The following is a 19,832-nucleotide window of genomic DNA, read 5'->3' on the forward strand; positions in this document are numbered from 1 at the left end:
TTTCCTCTTTAAGGTCCTTACACCAGCTCCTCCTTTGCCTGTGACACTCTGTTTCCAGGTTTTTCATGTACGTTCTTCTTCTGTTGGGTCTCTCCTCGAATGTCAGTCTTCAAAGAGGCCTTCCTTGTGACTCCATAAACCACTGCAGCTCTCTGATTCACTTCCTTACTCTGTCTTGTTTTTCTGTCTGCTAAAATAGAACTGATAATCCTCGTCCTCCTTCTCTCACAGCATTTCTTTGATGAGCAAATGAGATTCATGTGTATGTGTCTATGAAGATGCTTTTATAACTGTGAGTAATCACCAGGGATGCAAAGGAGGGTTCAATTTCTATGTCAGTTCACACTGGGTGGGTTTTTCTGGGTTTTTCTGAAGCACAGCCCTGAGATGAATTCCAAGACTGCAGTATTCTCAGTGACAAAGGGTGCAGCAATCCCTTAATGATGTCTGACTTGGGAGAGGGAATTAGAGGCGTGGGTGTCACATATTTGCTATCTGTGCCAAAAATAAAGTCATATATTAATAGAAGCCCAAAATCAATAATTTACAAATAGCTTCCTCAAACTTTCAATGGTACTTCTGGAAAAGTGAGATTTGAAATTTTACTCTCCTTCCTTTGCACTCTAAAAATTTATTCCCCTGATATTACTTTTATATTAAAAACTAATTAGAAAACTTCATAGGTTTCATCATATATTTAACATCATTGCTAAAGTTCTAACACTATTTTTGGAAATCATCAAAAGAGAAAAGTGTAAGACAGACAAGGAAAACAGAGAAGTTTTCCATGTTTAATATTATAAGTCACCACAAAGTATTATTTTGATATTACAATTTTTTTTTTTTTTTGAGACAGAGTCTTGCTCTGTAGCCCAAGCTGGAGTGCAGTGGCACAATCTCTACTCACTGTAACCTCCGCCTCCTGGGTTCAAGCAATTCTCATGCCTCAGCTTCCCAAATAGCTCAGATTACGAGTGCCCACCACCATGCCTGGCTAATTTTTGTATTTTTAGTAGAGATGGGGTTTTACTATGTTGGCCAGGCTGGTCTCAAACTCCTGACTTCATGTGATCCGACCACCTTGGCCTCCCAAAATGTTGGGATTACAGGTTTGAGCCACTGTGCCTGGTCTTAACAAATTTTAAAAATAGTGATAGGCAAATACATCTAATGAAACTAGAGTATTATTTGTCATTTCTTTGGATGAACCAATGCATGTAAGGAGGATGTAGTTCTGGGTTTCTCCTGTTTCATCACACAGTAACCCACCGTGGCTCTCTCCTCCATGCCGATATTATATAATTGTCAAGGCATTGAGACAGATTTTAATTCATTTAATAATTAGGTCAATAAAAACCATTATTGCTGACAGTGCCATTAAAAGTCCATAATGTCACCTTCATGGGGGAAAAACTAATATAGTTCCGTTGGATTTTTTCCGTGAAATTAATATGATAGCATTTCAGTGGGTGTCTTAAATAGCTTAAATAGACATTTTTATTAACAGAACTAATCATAGAATTAAAACAAATGAAAATCGTTACATTTGCTGTGATGAGGTATCCATGTTCACAGGATTTTATCAGCCTCATTCCTGTGAAGAACCTGAACATTTACTACCACAAGAACAGTATATTCAACTTGCCTGGAGCACTGCTTAGGGTCCCAAAGAGGCTGCCCATTTGTGTTTTGGTGATTTCCTCTTCAACACCATGGCTCCATTTCTCAGAGCCACCCTACTGGGAAACATGCCAGAACCATAACCTCCTAAACCAAAAACCTTCTTCATGTCCCCTTTTTGGCTGGTAGTATTTCATCTAGAATATCTAAGACAGTATTTCAGCTCAGAAAAATACTAAAGCAGAAGGGGTTGCACCTACGCCGCCCAGCAATGTTTTATCACCTCTCCTTCCTCAGCTTAATCACTAACGGTAGATAGATCTTAACATGAACTAAGGTAAACTCTAGTATAGTGCTATACGATTTAGGTAAATTCTCACTAGAAGAGCAAGATAGCAGGAGGAAAGAAGATTATACCAAGAGTTTCCTCTCAGACACATGAATGCTATGGTTCTGTGAGTTATTCAAATGTGCAAGTCACTGTGTATGGCTGCATCATTGCTGCTTGGGTACCTACAACTCTTCATAATCAGATATACCAGGATTCACAAGAATTCAGGGGTGGTCAATATTGATCAAAGGCCAAGGCCACAGATGTAGCTAGCACATTATACACTGACAGAACGCTTGCTAATGTACACAAAGAAGTAGCGGCTGGAGCCTGTGAGGCTGTGCAAACAGTATAGGCTTTGGGTTTGGGAAGACCCGCATTAGATCTTAGTAACTTGGTTCCCAACAGGATGACCATGGGCAGGTTAGCTCCCTTCAGTTTTCAGTTTCAGCATCTGGAAAATGGATTGATGAAGTCCACAGTTGTTTGACTCTGTGGTTTTTAGGATGGTTCGAAAGAGATTTCAGATGAAACATATCTAACAAACACTGTGGCTGGCAGAGAGTAAGGGCTATTCTTCAGAGGAAAGAGTCATCTCAGTTGGCATTGGACGTATTTAAAATATGATTGGGAGGGTAGCCTCTGCTAACCTCCAGCCACGTTGGTGAACTCTCAGAAAGCCTTGTGCATGCCCAGACATGCTGAATCTAAACAAACCAAAGGGAAGCTGCACTTCTCCACTGATTACTCCCTTTCCTGCCCTTTGGAAGATTCTAGAAACACTAGGAAATCTACTTAAATATTTTTTAACTCAGTTTTAAACAACATCTCTCAGAAAATACCATTCTTAGTAGAATAAACCTTCTTTGAAGGCGTACATAGACTTACATATGTGATATTTGCAACCAATCAGCATTTTGGGTGACTGGGCAGGTCTTGGGAAGTGGGAGGCACAGTAAAAATGAAAGACTTTGTTTGACCTCCCTGAGTTCTAAGCAAGATGTGGTGCCTGAGAAAGCTTATGCAGGTCCTACTGGGCAAGACTATAAAGCCAAGCGCAACAGAGAAAAAAATACCTTAGGGCACGGACGTTTGGTTTCTCAAGGCCTGTGATGGGGAAGGCCCTGAAACTCCCCTAACAGGGATGGAAGAAATCTGTGGATATTTTGTTCATGAGAAGTAGAGGAAAAGGGGAGGGGAGAAAGTGGAAACAGCAACGTGTCTGGAAACCAGCTGGCACCTGTGCCTTGAAGTAAATAAATTGGGTAAAGAAATATGATAGCTAGATAGTCCTAGAAATGAACATCCTGAAATCATCCCATAAACTTTATTTTGGAGGGGGATAGGGAAGAGAAGAGACCCTTTCTTCCATTTATTTCATTTAGTTGGTGATATTATTGGGCATTAACTTGGGATTCACTATTCCTGTGGCAAGTACTTACCTTTGCTGAAATTACCAAATATTCTCTGAAACAGACTCTTATCAGAAAATTGATCTATAATACATAACGGTGTCTTGCAAGAAAAAAGTCCCTTGTGGGGGCGATTTTTTAAAATGGTTCACTGCAGGCCTTTCACAATCACATGGAAATTTGGAGATTGCTCAGATATTGTGGGAAGAGGAGAAAGGGAACAAAGAGAGACATAATACTTGAGACTTTACAGGCTCCTACCATTTTCTAGTCTATTCGACAAGAGCAGCAGAGGTTCATATCAAGGAAGTGAAAACCATTCAGGAATACAAAAATTGTTTACAAAAAACAGCCTGTGCTTTGCATTCTTTTCTGTTACTTCGACAATTGCCAAGAAGTGTAACTGTGCTTGCTCGGTATTATTTAAATTAAATTATCAAATGCAAATGCTAAATATGAACCTCTCAGCAAAGCACTGGGTTATAATGCCATGTCCTCTATTCAGACTAAAAGCTGATTACTGGTTCTGGAGTTACAAACATGTCAGACAATAATTTAATTGCTTTGCAGGTAGAGGAATATGCAGCGTTCTTGTTCTCATTCTGGAACTCAACACGACTCTTTAATACAACATAATGATCATAAACACACACAAAGTCTTCGCCTCACACCTGCTTTATGGTAAAAAGAAGCTATTGCAAATTTCTGCAAAGCTCAAAGAATGAGGCAGTGCCAGATTTTTTAATCACTAAGCAAAACAGGTTTCTCACCAAGTGGCCCGGGCTTTTACTCCTGGTTCAGAGAGTTACAAGACACATTTTCAAAATGAGTTTAAAGCTATAATGAATTTCAGGTGCAAAGGACCACCGTCTAACAGCTAATTTGCTTCCTGTCTTCAACTGAGCTGTTAACCATAGGCAGCCAGCATGTGCACCCCTTTCTTGGGCCACTGGTGAAGACAGATGTCACAATCAATACTCATTAACTCTGGGATCAGTGTGTATCTTCCTCAGGAAGAGAAAGGGGGTCTTAAATGTAACTAGGAGGACTTTGTAAGCATTTTCTGAGCATTGCAGTGGCTGAGTGTTAAACCACAACAGGACAGGAGTGCAGGAGGGGGAGAGAAGAAAGGGGAGGGTGAGAGAGGGAAGGGAAGAAGAAAAGAGGCCACATTTCGTGATCTCCTCTGTCTCTGGAGCTCTTTTTTATCAGCTCGTGAAATTCCCAAGGATCCTGATCATCTCCCCCTTCCCAGCTCATCGCAAAGAGTTGTTGTACATTTCTTTGCAATTGGGTAGGGAAAGATCTTGAAAGGTGGATCCAACTTGAACATTAGACTTTTGTGAAACATGATACAGAAATTGTAGTGTTGCAGAGCTGTACCTGCTCATTTGCTGACTATGATGACCCAACATTTATTGAGCACTGTATGCCAGGCCTGTGCTACCTCAATGCTTCACCTGGAGTACCTTATTTAATCCTTATGGCAATCCCATAACCCTATAGGAAGCAGTCATCCTTTTATATATGATGCACATAAAACTGTCTGAAATGATTTGCACCTAATGTAATGATGGTAGGCTTAAATGCTTTCATTTTTGTACTTTGCTGTGTTTTAACAAGTTTTTGTGATGGATTTGTTCTTGTTTTTGCAAAATCAAGAATAACTTAAAAATAAAAGACTGGATGCCAATACAAATCTCCCAAGATGTTAACCTTGGTTAATTCTGGGTGATGAGAACGTAGATGATTGTTATTTCCTTCTTTGTACATTTCTGAATGTTTAGTTTCCCTATATAAGTGAAAATATAGACTTTAAAAAAGAAAAACAAAAGAAGAAGCCCTTCACTAGTGCCACAGTGTGAGGAGAATGAAGCCTAAGCCTAAATTTTATTAAACAGCAGGGTGACCCAATGCTCTGTATCAATGCTAGATACACCACCAAGCATTCGCTACGCATAATCCCACCAGCTCCTTCCAACAACTCTGGGAGGTAGGTGTCACCACCCTCACTGTACAGACAAGCAGAGTGAGGTTTCGAGTGGGTAAAGGACCAGCACTTGAGGTCACTCGGGTATCTGGCCTCCACTTACCCTTCTGGCCTGAGGCTCCATGGCATGCCCTCTGACCTTTGCTCATACCCTGGTCTCCAGCCGCCTGAGTCCTTGTCTTTTTCTGACCACAACCTCAAAGTCCCTAGGTCCATACCTAATGTTCACACTCTCTCATTTACTTGGAAAGCCATTTTCCAGACTACACCCATTCTTCCAAACGTGTATCAAATACTCCCCCTTCCACAAAGATTCTCTGAGTCACCTCAGCCTTAGTGTATTCACCTTGGTGTAGTATATGCCACAGGCTGCCACATGGCAGGTGCCAGGCCAGCTCAGGCACACTGAATGCTCTGTATGGCTTATGCAGTGTTTAAAAGATTTAAAAAATAATTAGACTTGTATTAAAAAAAAAAAATGTGTACCTAGTGGCTCAGGTTCCCCTACCCTGCTTGGCAATAATTAACTGTAGCCAAAGCGTCTGCCCTATTCAGACAGAAGCCTGTGTGTGCTCTAGTTCCCAACAGTTTCCTTTTAATACTCCTTCTTATCCTTGGCCCATTTCTCTTAATTCATTGTTGTCAGGCCTCTGAGCCCAAGCTAATCCATCATATCCCCTGTGACCTGCACGTATACATCCAGATGGCCTGAAGTAACTGAAGAATCACAAAAGAAGTGAAAATGGCCTGTTCCTGCCTTAACTGATGACATTACCTTGTGAAATTCCTTCTCCTGACTCAGAAGCTCCCCCACTGAGCACCTTGTGACCCCCGCCCCTGCCCACCAGAGAACAACCCCCTTTGACTGTGATTTTCCATTACCCACCCAAATCCTGTAAAACGGCCCCACCCCATCTGCCTTCCTTGACTCTCTTTTTGGACTCAGCCCGCCTGCACCCAGGTGATTAAAAAGCTTTATTGCTCACATAAAGCCTATTGGTTTGGTGGTCTCTTCACATGGACACGCGTGACAATTGTTTTATGTGCCCAGCACATCACAGGTGTTCATTGAGGGCCAGAAACTAGTCACTTCACTACTGCTATAATCCTAGGGAGAGAGAATGGTGGTCTGAATTACAAGCAGTGAGAATAGAGAAAAGATATTCCAAAGAATCTGTCCTCTGAAATTAGGGGCTTTATTTATTTATTGGAACACTTTCTATCTTGAACTGTAGTGATACGGGTATACATCTTACCTATTCTACTTGACTGACTGCATCCCCCTGAAGACACGTGTCAGGTGCCATGCCTGCCCTGTGATATCCCCAGCGCTGCCTAGCTGAATGGTGCATACATACCAGGCACGGGATGAATGTTGGTTGACTGATCATTCATTTTAATCCTGAAACCTGGCGTTTATGTTTCCGCTACATTTAAAAGCTGGCAAAACACATCTCCTTCCCTCCCACTCACTCAATTAAAAGCTCAGTACATTAATTATCTGAATTAAAGTCAAGAGTCTGAGATATCCCTCCCAATTTATAAAGACAGGGACGAGGTAAATTTTTTTCCCAAGTTGTAGGGACAGAAAGAAGACTAAAGAATGAGGACCTTACAGGCGAGCACGGGGCCAGCGAAGGATTCTGTTTTAAGATCATCTCCTGGTGCTCATTAGTGCTGTTGCTCTTCACCTGGGTGAGCGGGCTTGCTTCCATGGAGAAGAGACCTCCGCCAGCTCCTGCTGCATTAACGGTCTCCGAATGTGATTTGGCGGCAGCACGGGTCTCATTAGAGTGGGGGATGTGCAAAGGCAGAAGGCCTCACTTTGAGAAAACACTTTGCGTATGAACAAAGGTGGAAAGATGTCAGGCTTTTAAAGGGAACCTGCATCTCGCTCCTCACTTAGCAAAGTCATCAGGAGATTCTGCTAAGTAAAGAAGTTCTGGACCTTTTCAAGCTATTAAAGGTGACCCAACAAAGCAAAATGGCTTTGTTCCCCAAATTTCTTTTTGTCAGTTGCCTTGAACAACCAAGCCTGAACGAAACAGCCTAAGGGAGATTGCCAGGTAATAATAAATCCCTATTTGCTTCAGTAAAGGACATCTCAAAGAAGGGATAAAATAAAAAATATCAGAATTAAAGAGGCACAAAAAACCCTGAACATCCGGGGCATGTAGATGCTCGGTAGCAATGAATGTATTAGGTTGGTGCAAAAGTAATAGCGATTTTCGCCATTACTTTCAATGGCAAAAACTGCAATTACTTCTGCGCCAACATAATACTTGGGGCCTGGTTCTCAGGGGTAGGGCTTCCAGCATTTTAAGTAGCAGTCTGCCATCAGGCAAGATGTGCATATTCATCATTGATGTGGCTTGATCATGACATATTCTGTTTTCTTGAGCAAGGAAAGAACTCAGCAACATCTCGCAGAGCGACCATCAGGTTATGTCCTTGTCTCTGGTTCATTTGAGGAGAGTAGGAAATTATGAAACCCACAAGAAGAGTTTATGGCTCCTCCTCACACTCCTACACTTAAATCCAGGAAGAGACTGCCAGGCGTCGGTCAAGTTTGAAGATATTTAATGGACTATGCATTATCTACACTGCCCCATTTCAAGGTCAATAGCTGTCTGTCTCTTTATCCCATAAGGCTAGGTTTTCCCTTGAAGAAGAAGGTACTGCTGTTACTGGTAGAGGGTGCCTATGTTCTTGGCATCTTGAAGAACTGGACAAAATGCGCAAACAAAGCAAGGAAAGAATGAAGCAACAAAAGCAGAGATTTATTGAAAATGAAAGTACACTCCACAGGGTGGGAGTGGGCCCGAGCATAGGGGCTCAAGGGCCCCGTTACAGAATTTTTGGGGGTCTAAATAGCCTCTAGAGGTTTCCATTGGTTACTGGGTGTATGCCCTATGTAAATGAAGAGGATGAAGTAAAGTTATGAAGTCATTTACTTGGCGTATGCCCTATGGAGAGGATAGCCCCTGTCATAGCTCAAGTGTGAATCAGCCTTATGTTCCCTGCCTGCAGACCCTATTTTCCTGTCTCACTGCCACTTGGGTCTCCTGAGAAGGCCCTTTGCTGACTCTGCCTTCTGGGAACTGGCAAGTCAGGTGATCTCTGGAGCTGCCCCACGGTAGAAAGTGCAGAGCGAACAGCCGAGGACTGTCATGCACTAAGCATTTGGGGAAACCACCCTTTCTCCCAGGTTGGTGGGCTCTCTCGAGACAGGTACCTGTACTTACTTGGTATTGGAGTGCTCTAATCTTAGAGTCTAGTGTAGGCTTCAGGGGAGAGGGAGCTAAGGCGGCCATTCTGTTTGCTTTGTTTCCAGGCCTTGGGTTTGTCTCTAGAGGGAGAAAGAGTCCTCCTCTGTCTAGCTTGAAGCAGTGGGAGGCTGTATGGGGCACGGAATAAGAAACTCAAAGTGTCCCTTTCCGGCGTGTCCTGCTCTGTGGGCACTTACTCCTTCAGAGCTTGTGAAGACAGAGATAAAGGTCAGTCAAGCCCAGGACCAGGTGTTGGGATTGTTCTTATCCCCAAGTTTTCTAATTTCACTAGGAATATTAAAGGCAATTTAATGCAATCTGCATTTTAAAGATAAAAGTGATGGAGTTCAGGACATGCTTCCCCAAAATATGGCACCTTGGCATAGTGAATATTTTCAGCTAAAGGAATGTGAGAAGGTAACAGAAGTAGGAAGGTCTTTCTGACTGTTCGCTCCCTGTTTGTCCTTGCGGCAGGTTAGAAGACCCTCATTGGAGAGGTGCCCTGAAGAAAGGAATGTTCTTATCTCTGAAGACAAAGGGTCACAGAGAAGAATCTGAACAAAACTCTGTGCTAAGTGTCCCCAGTTTATTGCCATTAGACTACATCCTTTTTGACCTAGAAGCTCCACCTTCAAAGTTTTTAGGTAGCCATGACCAGTCTAACTGTAGAAATGGAATGGAACATTGGAAAGACTGTAAACTTGGAGCTCTAAGAACTAGGTTCAGTTTCCTCCACTTATCAGCTTTGTGGCCAGAGTCAAATTTTGCCTCTCTGTGCCTCAGTTACCTTACTACAAAATTAGGACTATTCTGAGGCTTCAATGAGGGTTAACCATGTACTGAGCATGATGCTGGGTATGCTACTCTGTAGACACTACTTCTCTCCCCTCTCCTCTTTGGTGACTTTTAAAGATCATGGGGAAGCTGGGCGCGGTGGCTCATGCCTGTAATCACAGCACTTTGAGAGGCCGAGGCGGGCAGATCACGAGGTCAGGAGATCGAGACCGTCCTGGCTAACACGGTGAAACCCCGTCTCTGCTAAAAATACAAAAATTTAGCCGGGTGTGGTGGCGGGCGCCTGTAGTCCCAGCTACTCCGGAGGCTGAGGCAGGAGAATGGCGTGAACCCAGGAGGCGGAGCTTGCAGTGAGCCGAGATCACACCGCTGCACTCCAGCCTGGGAGACAGCGAGAATCTGTCTCAAAAAAAAAAAAAAGATCATGGGGAATAATCTACATGAAAATGGATGTTGTAAAGCCTAGGACATTACATGTGTTATGTGGCAAGAGGGGTAAATGGTAGAGTTAATTTTTAGGCCTCTCTTAAGCCTCACAATGGTTCTAATTTTGTAATAAGGTAACTGAGGCACAGGGAGACAAACACTTGACTATGGCCACAAAGCTGATAAATGGAAGAAACTGAACCTAGTTCTTAGAGCTCTAAATTTATACTCTTTCCAATGCTTCGTTCCACTTCTACAGTTAGACTGGTCATGGCTACCTCAAAACCTTGAATGTGGAGCTTCTAGATCCCCAGCGGCAATTCCCATCAAGGAGAATTTTGCCTGCTTGACTCTCTCCTACCATCCACAGTCATTGTTACTGCAAGTGAGTTAAAGCAGTTGAGCAAATCATATATATATATATGGGTACAGGGTTTATATATATATATACATATATATGTATACATATATATGTGTATATATATGTATATACATATGTATATATGTGTATATACATATGTATATACATATATATGTGTATCTCCCCAGTGTATGGGGTTAGAATGCAGCTGTGGAACATGGGGGTGTCCTCTTAGTGACTCAAACCAAATTATCACTGGAGAAACAATGAGAACAACAAAATCAAATGCAAACCACCAAAATACAAGTGTAGTCCTCATATCAAGAAAAAGATAAGGGAAAGATCTTCAGAAAGCCCCTCTATTAATTATTTAGTCTCAGCTCAGACAGTTCCAGAAACAGAACAGTGATAAACAGGACCATTGCCATACTTCTGGAGATGAGGAAAACACCAGAATAGAAATCTTCAGTGGGCTAGTATGGGACTCTGGCTGTGATCCCTCTCTTATCCAAAATTCTGCTAAGGGACTTGCCTGAGAACACACACAGATTTCTCTATGAGAGCAAAATAAGAGATATATACATAGGTTAGATAATGCAATGAAGATCAAAAATTACATTTTGGAATGTTGTATTCCATCTTATGGGGCAGCATTTAATCAGGATCCTAGTGCAATCTTCCATCTGGAGCCCCAAATCCAATGTCACACATTGCGGGTTGGGGTGCGGAAGATCTAGCTTAACCCTAGTGAGGAAGATGTCCTGCCTGGTTAACTTCCAGCTCAGTGGGTATTAGTAGCATAGCAGGGATGCCAAACAGGAACACACTATGGGGTGTCATCAGCAAGAATAAGGTCCAGAGCTATGTGGTGGGTTAGAAGTCTGAAAGTCAGAAAAGGCTTTGGAAGCCCTCTTGTCTTCCATTTTACAGGTGAAGAAACTGAGGCTGAATGATTTGTTTACCATTCAGGTTACACAGAGAGTTAAAGTCAGGACCCAGACCTTCCAAGTCCCAGGCCAAAGCAGGTGATTATTCTGTAGCATGTGCTGTCCATATTCCTCGGCAGCAGTATATCCCAGCAGCAGCATAATTTCAGAAAAGGAATGAGAAAAGGGGATATATCCATTGGAGGGTACCCAGGATCAGGGGTTTCAAAGATGCACAATTCTGGGACACAGGGTGAGTAGTCATGAGAAGTGGAGATATGGGGTGGGGGTGCGTGATGGTTTCCGCAAACACAGGAGAAAGAAACATTAACAACGTGGGCCGTGGAAAAGGAATTAAACTTGTTTGGTTTCATGGAGCAGGTAGATAACTAGTGGGTGGATCGGAAGAAAGCAATTTATATGTCTGTGGTGAAACATACACACATAACGTAAAATCCACCATTTAGCCATTTTAAAGTATATCGTTCAGTGGCATTTAGTGCATTCAACAGTGTTGTGCAAACATCACCGCTACCTAGTTTCAGAACATTTTCATTATCCCGAAGGGAAACCCTGCACCCATTAAGTGGTAACTCCCCTTTCCCCTACCCCCCCAGTCCCTGGCAACCACTTATCTGCTTTCTGTCTCTATCAATTTGCCTATTATGGATATTTCATAGAAATGGAATCATACAATATGTGGCCTTTAGTGTCTGGGGAAGCAGATGCTTTTTTAACATAATGAAAATTGCAGGATGAAGAGTGTGGTTTGAAAGGGGGCTTGGTAATGACTTAGGATGCTTGAATTCAGGCCAAGGCTAGAAGTCCACATGGTAGGGATATTGCGGAGGGGCCTCTGAACAAGAAGTGGGCTTGAAAGGCTGGCTCTTCAGGGCTTTTCTGACCTGGAGATGGAGGCCCTCTCTGACAAGCCCCTGGGACTATCTCCCTTTTTCCCCACAACCCCACCTCTGCCAGTGATGACCAGTCTCTACCCTACGGTAAAACTCAGGTCCAACCACGTCCACTCCTTTTGCTAATTTCCCCTCTTTTCATTCTCCTCCCACCTCCGGGTCTGTTGACACTTGCTTGCCAATTTGCCTGACACACTGCAGACAATCTTCTCACTCAAGCATGTTTGACCTGAACATACAGCTTTCTGCTGAGCTGATCTGGAGTTTCAGTTGGCCGTTTGGGCAGCCAGACATGAATTAAGAACAGGGATAAACAAGGATGGCTTGAGCTTTAACTACACCGATTTGGCCCAATAGGCTCGGGGATAATCTATAAGACCTAACAGCTGAGGGCAATAAAATTAGCTACAAAGGGACTGCGGGGTAGAAACAATGTCTTCTGATACTTCACACAACACACACTCACACACAAAAGACACCAAAAACTCTCCGACAGAAGCCTTACAACAGCTTAGAGGAGAGGCATTGTGCTTGAAAAACTATATTTTAAAAAGCAGAGAGGAAACCCACGGTGACTGAAGTATCATTTTCCCGGTGGTGATCATGGATTTCATCCCAAGACCTGGAAATCATGTTAGAACTACAGTATCAGCCCAGCTTTGTGTCTAGGGCTTAAACTTGAAATGTTGTTTACATAAATAGTTAAGGAACACATACTGGGTTGAAGAGTGTGCTCTCCAAAAATGCATGTCCACCTAGAGCCTCAGAATGTGACCTTATTTGGAAAGAGGTCTTGGGAGATGTTATTAGTCAAGATGAGGTCATACTGGATTAGAATGGGCCCTAAATTCCGTGACTGGTGTCCTTATAAGGACATCAACGGAGGGCAGAAGGCCATGTGAAGACAAAGCGGACACTAGAGTGAATCTGCTGTAAGCCAAAGAAGGCCAAAGATTGCGGAAAGGAAGGATTCTTCCCCAGAACTTTCAGAGAGAGCATGATTCTGCTGACACTTTAGTTTTGGACATCCAGCATCTTGAACTGGGAGGGAATGCATTTTGGTTGTTTTATGCCACTCATGTTGTGCCAATTTGTTACAGCAGTCCTAGGAAGCTAACATAATACACTCCCAATTCCCTCTTCTTTTATACAATTGTACAACCCTATTTGAAACATGGAAAAGGCTCTTAGTTCTCACAAAAAAATCTCATTATATTTGGAGTTCAACTTCTGAACACGGGTTTAGAAACAAATAGGGTCTGATTTCACTGATTTTCAAAGGGCTTTCTTTGTAATGACTGGGGTTTGTTTTATTTGTTTGCTTGTTTCCAGGAGAAGAGAAGATTGGCCTCAGACACTTCCGTCTTCAGACCTGTGCCTCTCCTTTGAGGATCCCTTCCCCGAAGCTGCCAAGGAGAACCTTCCCTCACATTGTTCCTCCTTTGTTCCCCGCTCTCCTTTTCCAGGCTGAGAGACCTGGGGCCTTGGAAGCAAGCACACGCTGGCTGAGCTGTGATTCCTCCATGTTGATTATAATTTTTATCACATTATATGGGATCCCTCTGGTGGTTACTAGGGGATACGTCAGTTTTGAGAGATTGGAACCTAACCAAAGAAGCTTCAAATCTAGAGGATAAGGGGACTCAGAGTTTACAAGTCACAGCAAGCAGATGCTGGTCTGCTTTAGGTGCCTCTTACGGGGATTGTGAGAGGGCTCCTGGGGCCTGAGGAGGGTCTTCTGAGGTGTGAAAGGCTGTACTGGTGGTCCCTGAAAGCCATCGTCATTTGTGTGAGGAGGAGTACTGGAGGAGCTGTCTTACCACATGAAAAACAGCATGGAGCATCCCAGCCACATCAAAGGCACGGTTTGAGCCTTGGGCTGTAGAGGCTCAGAGAGAGTGACAAATAAGACCCTGGTGAGAGACCAATGGGGACAGTATTTCCAGACTTTGGCATGAAACAGATTTCTGAGCACCTCATGAAATGTCTGCAAGGGCAGCTCCTCAGAGTGACCCTCCCAAATCAATCAAAGCTGGCCCCCTATCTTAATTATGACTTACAAATAGAAGCATGCACCTGGCTGGATGCAGTTTGCCACATGGTTTACAATAGCGGTAGAATAAGAAATAACTTACCAAACGAGTACATTTTCTTGGCTGGCTGGGGCACTCAGAGTTGACACTGGTAAGGCTCCATTAAAATGCCTTTATGTTCTGATATACACAGATGTGTTAATTTATAGCATATTCATCAGAAGACATAAATTAATTGCTCTCTGATGAATTTTATAACACCTCCTTTATGCCTCTCCACCCTCCCCCTCCAAAGTACACTGAAAAGGTCAACAGCACTATCGAATGCAGCACACTTCAACTTCCTTCCAAGCTTATAATTAAAGCTAATTAGTAGCTTTGGTAATTAGCGCATGTAAGCTTTCTGCTTTCTGAATTAATAAGACTGAGTCAGGTTTTGAGCCAAGTAGACTTTTCACTCACTGGTTCTGATTCTTGAACTGTGTTTGGCTGGTTAATTTAAAACATGTCTGTTGAAAGTGGAATACTAGAAAGAAAACATACTTGTGATGGTCTGCTCTCAAGCCAGTGTGATTTATGAACAGGCCAAAGTGGAACTGTTGTCACAAGAGAAAATCAGAATGCTCTGGGTTTCCAATAACTGACCAGTCTCAACCTCTCAGTGTGAAATGAGTTGTGCCCAGTTACTATGTCACATGGACACAACACAACGTCAAGGATGCCCTTGCACACTTATGTCACCCTCTCATAACACATCTGTACTAAGCACATCAAATCCTCTTTATTTTAGGAGAATGCAGAGGCAATGGCAGTGGGGTGCCAAGATATAACTAACTGCTCATTTTGATTCAAATAAAAATCAAAGAGGAGAAAAATCATTAGTCAAATCAGCTTCTGCTTTTGTGTAGACAAAGTGATTCTCCAAATAGCTTCGTGTTTCTTTTTTTAGCCAGCATGTGGGCATCCTGCATGCCCAGACAGAATTAAAAGTGCATGTTTTAAAATCAAGAAATCAAATCTATATTCTATTAAAAGAAAAAATGTGATTTGTTTTCAGACTTTAGAAACAGTTGGGATAAAAATTTCCACGGGTGAGCTCATTTGCTTTTTCTTTTCCCATACTAATCTCAGAAAATTTATTTTTGTTTTTTAAAGAAAGAAAGGAAGGAAGAAAAAGAAAATCACTTAGTGATTTACTGGACTCCTTATAAGTCCAGGACAATGGTGGGGGTTGCTCACAGCGCTAGTAATTTTGATACATAAAGAAAAGGAAACAGTCACTGCTGCAGAGAGAGGAATATATAAGACAGCTCTGGGTCACTAGAGTAAATGGTTTTCATTTTAATGGCGCACTTACTGCCACTGTGATAGCCACATTTGGATCTGTAAGGGGCAGTTAATACTATTCAAGAGCAAGGCACATTTGGTCTTGTGGATGGCTGTGATTGTGAAGGTGACAAGGGGTTATGGATTCCCACAGCCTCACAGGCCCAGCTGAATAGGAAGCCTTGTGCCCCCTTGGCAGCTCATCCTACCCCGTGGCAGCTCATCCTACCTAGGTGGATACACTCCAGTAAGATCTATACACAGTGGTTCTCAACTGGGGGAGATTCTGCCCCCAGGGGATACTTGGCAATGTTTGGCACAGTTTTGATTGTCATAACTGGTGGGAGAGGGTAGATGCTACTGGCATCTAGTGAGCAGAGACTAGGAATGTTGCCAAACGATCAGCCATGCACACGACAGTCACTCCTCAACAAAGATGATCTGGCCCCACAGGATACTAGTGCCAATGTCATGGAACCCTGATACAGAAGGTCTAAACAGGGTCTGAGGCCCTCCTTGTCTTTGAGGAAGAGTTAAATGTTAGCTTTCCAGATTGACTCTGGACTGATCTTGGCCTTATACAAGTCAGAAAGAAGTGAGTGATAGCTCACCCACAGGGGCTAGATCTGAGTCAGACTGGAAGAAGTCGGCACACTCAGGGTAACGGCAGCTGCCTAAAAGCCAAGCGCTGGGCATTTTTATGTTGCAGCTAAGGCCAGCATGCTGCATTATGGATGAGCTCATGTGCCATGGCAAACAGTTTAAGAACGATGCTTATATTTAATGAATCCTAAATGGTTTATTACAGAGGGTCAAGTTTCTGCTTCCTGTGGGAATTTGACATTTATGAAAATGCACGCACATTAATTATTCAGTGGAGACGTCCTTCCTATGGAAATTCACTTTCCTGTACACTCGACAGGACTACATTCCCTGTCTGCATGGGCTACTTTGTTGTTAATCCTCTAAGCATTAATTAAATAAAATTTGCAACCGAGCCAGGATGCATCTACCCTCAAATGTTATGCAAAAGACAGTTAAATGCTGTTTGATTTTTCCTGCTAGTAGCCAATCATTACCCATAGCTATTTATGTTCTTCCTTTTGTTCTTTAAAGCATAAACCTGGTATCTCTTCCCACTGAGAAGAAAACTACGCTCAGTAATTAAATTACACCACATTAAACTTACTTAAGTTCACCAGCAGGGAAAATTCCGTGCCCCTGGGTTTAACAGTAAGTCCTAATCACGCTTGCAAGCCATATCTTTTCTGTGAGTTGTTATAGTTTTCATTCCTGGAATTCCATTAAAAATGGTAATGTCATTACTCCTGTTACTGCTCAAAACCAACAGCATAATCCTGAATTTTAATTAGTAATTACAATTAATCATTATTTCATTAATGAAATGTTTAGTTGGTAATTGTCTTTGAGCACCTTACTCCCTAGGCTTATAAGCATTTCATAACATCTAATTTGTTGCCTGTTTCTGATGAAGTGGCACTGTCAACCTTATTTTATGTTAACACTTTGATGGGGCTCTGCATCCCAGGCCTGCACCACCGGCTGCATATTTACACCTTGGAAATGTGTGGCTTCTGGCTCTCGATAAGGTTCGCCTGAGGACGTACCCTCGCATTCTTTCCTGCCAGCTTAAGAAGGCGACTGTTTGTGCTCCCAGAGAGCACAGCATGTGAAGAGAGAAATAATAATTCCTGGAACGCTTACTTAATAATAAATCTGGGATCCAAATTCATGGATTTTTGAGAGGGGATAGAGCAAGGATTTGGAGGTAGTCTTTGGAACAGGAAGGTTGATTTTAAAAGAGCTTAAAGAATTAAGAATAAGCTGGGAGGGTTGTCAAGAATTTAACACGAGGCAAGATTTTTGTTGATCCTTTTGCAATAGCAAAGATATTCTTATTTATTAGGATGGTTTTTTAGGGGTGAGGGGAAGCTTGTCTTCCCCACCAAAAGGTCAGGGACCCAAGTATGCCTTGCACACAGTTGTATTCCTAGCTCCTGGTGCGGGGTTGGGCATACACGTGACTCAATAAACAGCTAGATAAGTCATTGTTCCTGCATGGCCTATGGTTAGGCTATGAAGGGGGTAACTGAGGTACAAGAGTTAATGGTGGTTTGGTGATGGTAGCAGGGTGTGGGATGCTAGGAGATGCCAAATCAGTGGGCTGGTGTGCTCACAAATGACCTGATGTCATAGTTGTCTGTCACTGACAATTCTAAAAGGACGGATTCATCCGACTGCCCTCTATGTAAAAAAATTTACACATACACACACACACACACACACACACACACACCCGACGGTGAATTATTCAGGGAGGAGAAAGCCTGCTATCCTTGGCAAATTAAACAAGGAGGATTTGAGCAAAGAAAAGATGTGCTGCTGTTATTTCAAGGAAGTATTCACAGCTTCAGAATTAAAACTGAGATGGAACAACATCAGACTTGTTGGAAAATGCTCCGCGTCTGTGGTGTATTTCAGACAAGTTAGTCAGAAAATTCAAAATATCTGGAAGAAATAAATGACGGCCAACAGTTTGGTGTTGGCCACCAGGTGCCAGAGCACGTATGGTCTTGGCCTAAGGTGAGTGAAAGACAGGTTTCTGGGTCAAGACAGGTGTTTCCAAATGGCAATTTTTGAGGCTGCTGACATTTTACAAAATAAAAGAATGTGATAAAGCTTAAGTTTTTGGTTGTATTTTATAAATGTCTATATTTAAGAAGTTCATGCTTTAGCACACATAAGACATTCAACAAGTCATTTGGAAATAACATCAAATGTCGAAATTTGAGACCCTTTATAATTAGGAGTGGAGGACCAAGTGGACTCCATCCCTTGTCCCCACATAGGTCCTATTTCTTTCCTAGGCCACACAGCTTTTAAACATAATATTTCTCCCCTATTATCCTTCAGTATTTATAGAGCATCCGGCCTGTGCTAGGAGCTTGAAAAGACAGTCCCTCTCTCATGGAGCTCCCAATATAGAGGCCCTTTCCCTTTGGACTTTCTTCTACTGGAAATTGCCTTTTCTTGTGTAGTTCCCTTTGCTGACTCTGCTTGTCCTCCTGTTCTCACAAAGGCTACCATGCAGTGGGGGAATAAATATGAAAAAAAATATAAGATCATTGCACTGCAGAGTGAAGGAGCAAATCCCTTAACAGTCATGAGTACACATTCCAGCTCATGAGCATAAAGCCACACTATTCATAGAAATGGGTGATACTGATTGTACACTTACCATGTGTGAATATTGTGCTTAGTATATCACATGGATTACATCACTTCACCTGCTTCGGAGAACCTGGATTGAGCATAATGGAAATTAAGAGTTGGCCCATCCCTAGATCCACATCTGTTACCTGCTTTGCTGGCTGCCTGGGAATGAGGTCTTGTCTGTCTGTTTTTTGTTTTTTTAACTTCAGCTTTGGCCTGGAGCTGCAGCCCAGGCCACTATGGAAGGAAAGGGAATGTAGCCTTTATAAAATCATCTATAGCCTGGTGGGAATGTCAACTAGTACAACCACTATGGAAAACAGTGTGGAGATTCCTTAAATAACTAAAAGGGGAATTACCATTTGATCCAGCAATCCCACTGCTGGGTATCTACCTAGAGGAAAAGATGTCATTATATGAAAAAAAATACTTGCACACACATGTTTATAGCAGAATAATTCGCAATTGCAAAAATGTGGAATCAACCCAAATGTCTATCAGTCAATAAGTGGATAAAGAAATTGTGGTATATATATATACAATGGACTACTACTCAGCCATAAAAAGGAATGAATGAATTAATGGCATTCGCAGCAACCTGGATGAGATTGGAGACTATTGTTCTAAGTGAAGTAACTCAGGAATGAAAAACCGAACACTGTATGTCCTCACTTATAAGTGGGAGCTAAGCTATGAAGACACAAAGGCATAAAAATGACACAGTGGACTCTGGGGACTCAAGGGAAAAGAGTGGGAGGGGGGTGAGGGATGAAAGACTACACATCGGGTACAGTGTACACTACTTGGGTGGTGTGTGCACCAAAATCTCACAAATCACCACTAAAGAACTTATTCATGTAACCAAATACTGCCTGTTCCCCAATAACCTATAGAAATAAAAAAAAAATTTAAATCAGCTAGAGCCAAGCAGAAATAATAAGGAAAGTGAATTCCAAGAAAAAGTATGGAATTCTCTTCAAAGCATAACAGAAAATGTTTTGCCATTTCTGGTTGTTGTCATGAAGCAAAAAAACCCACTTGCCCACTTGGCATGTCTTACCTGACAAAAACTACAAAGAAAGGCCTGCCCAGGGTTTCTGCAAGTCCTGGATCTGGGAGGCTGTGTCTCACAGAGAGTGACAGCCAAGACTGAATAACTGTGAGACTGTGGGCAAGCTGGTGAGTTCTTCTGTGC

General features: G+C 42.5%; 1 protein-coding gene and 1 long non-coding RNA gene across 9 annotated transcripts in view, besides 4 other annotated features; one reads left to right on the forward strand and one right to left on the reverse strand.

Moving 5' to 3' along the window:
* CFAP20DC-DT (CFAP20DC divergent transcript) overlaps nucleotides 1-14,955 on the forward strand; it is a 724,471-nt gene extending 709,516 nt beyond the window's left edge. The window contains exon 7 of the long non-coding RNA XR_002959675.2: nucleotides 13,377-14,955. This is a non-coding gene — a long non-coding RNA (CFAP20DC divergent transcript). The remainder of the gene's footprint in view (nucleotides 1-13,376) is intronic.
* The window catches only part of FHIT (fragile histidine triad diadenosine triphosphatase), a 1,504,176-nt gene that overhangs the window by 49,079 nt on the left and 1,435,265 nt on the right, over nucleotides 1-19,832 (reverse strand). The gene's annotated exons all lie outside the window — the stretch shown is intronic.
* Nucleotides 2,248-3,447: an enhancer, noted in NCBI's record as "MED14-independent group 3 enhancer chr3:59784329-59785528 (GRCh37/hg19 assembly coordinates)". NCBI's record gives its function as "activates an origin of replication core promoter dependent on BRD2, BRD4, P300/CBP and CDK7 cofactors, and independent of MED14, by STARR-seq in HCT116 cells {active_cell/tissue: HCT116}" and the evidence as "EXISTENCE:reporter gene assay evidence [ECO:0000049][PMID:35650434]".
* Nucleotides 11,848-12,483: an enhancer, noted in NCBI's record as "H3K27ac hESC enhancer chr3:59793929-59794564 (GRCh37/hg19 assembly coordinates)". NCBI's record gives its function as "activates a minimal SCP1, AML or CMV promoter by ChIP-STARR-seq in naive H9 embryonic stem cells {active_cell/tissue: H9 hESC(naive)}" and the evidence as "EXISTENCE:reporter gene assay evidence [ECO:0000049][PMID:30033119]".
* Nucleotides 13,118-13,751: an enhancer, noted in NCBI's record as "H3K27ac hESC enhancer chr3:59795199-59795832 (GRCh37/hg19 assembly coordinates)". NCBI's record gives its function as "activates a minimal SCP1, AML or CMV promoter by ChIP-STARR-seq in primed H9 embryonic stem cells {active_cell/tissue: H9 hESC(primed)}" and the evidence as "EXISTENCE:reporter gene assay evidence [ECO:0000049][PMID:30033119]".
* Nucleotides 13,752-14,385: an enhancer, noted in NCBI's record as "H3K27ac hESC enhancer chr3:59795833-59796466 (GRCh37/hg19 assembly coordinates)". NCBI's record gives its function as "activates a minimal SCP1, AML or CMV promoter by ChIP-STARR-seq in primed H9 embryonic stem cells {active_cell/tissue: H9 hESC(primed)}" and the evidence as "EXISTENCE:reporter gene assay evidence [ECO:0000049][PMID:30033119]".

This window comes from Homo sapiens, chromosome 3 (assembly GCF_000001405.40).
Source record: "Homo sapiens chromosome 3, GRCh38.p14 Primary Assembly".
Taxonomy (NCBI): domain Eukaryota; kingdom Metazoa; phylum Chordata; class Mammalia; order Primates; family Hominidae; genus Homo; species Homo sapiens.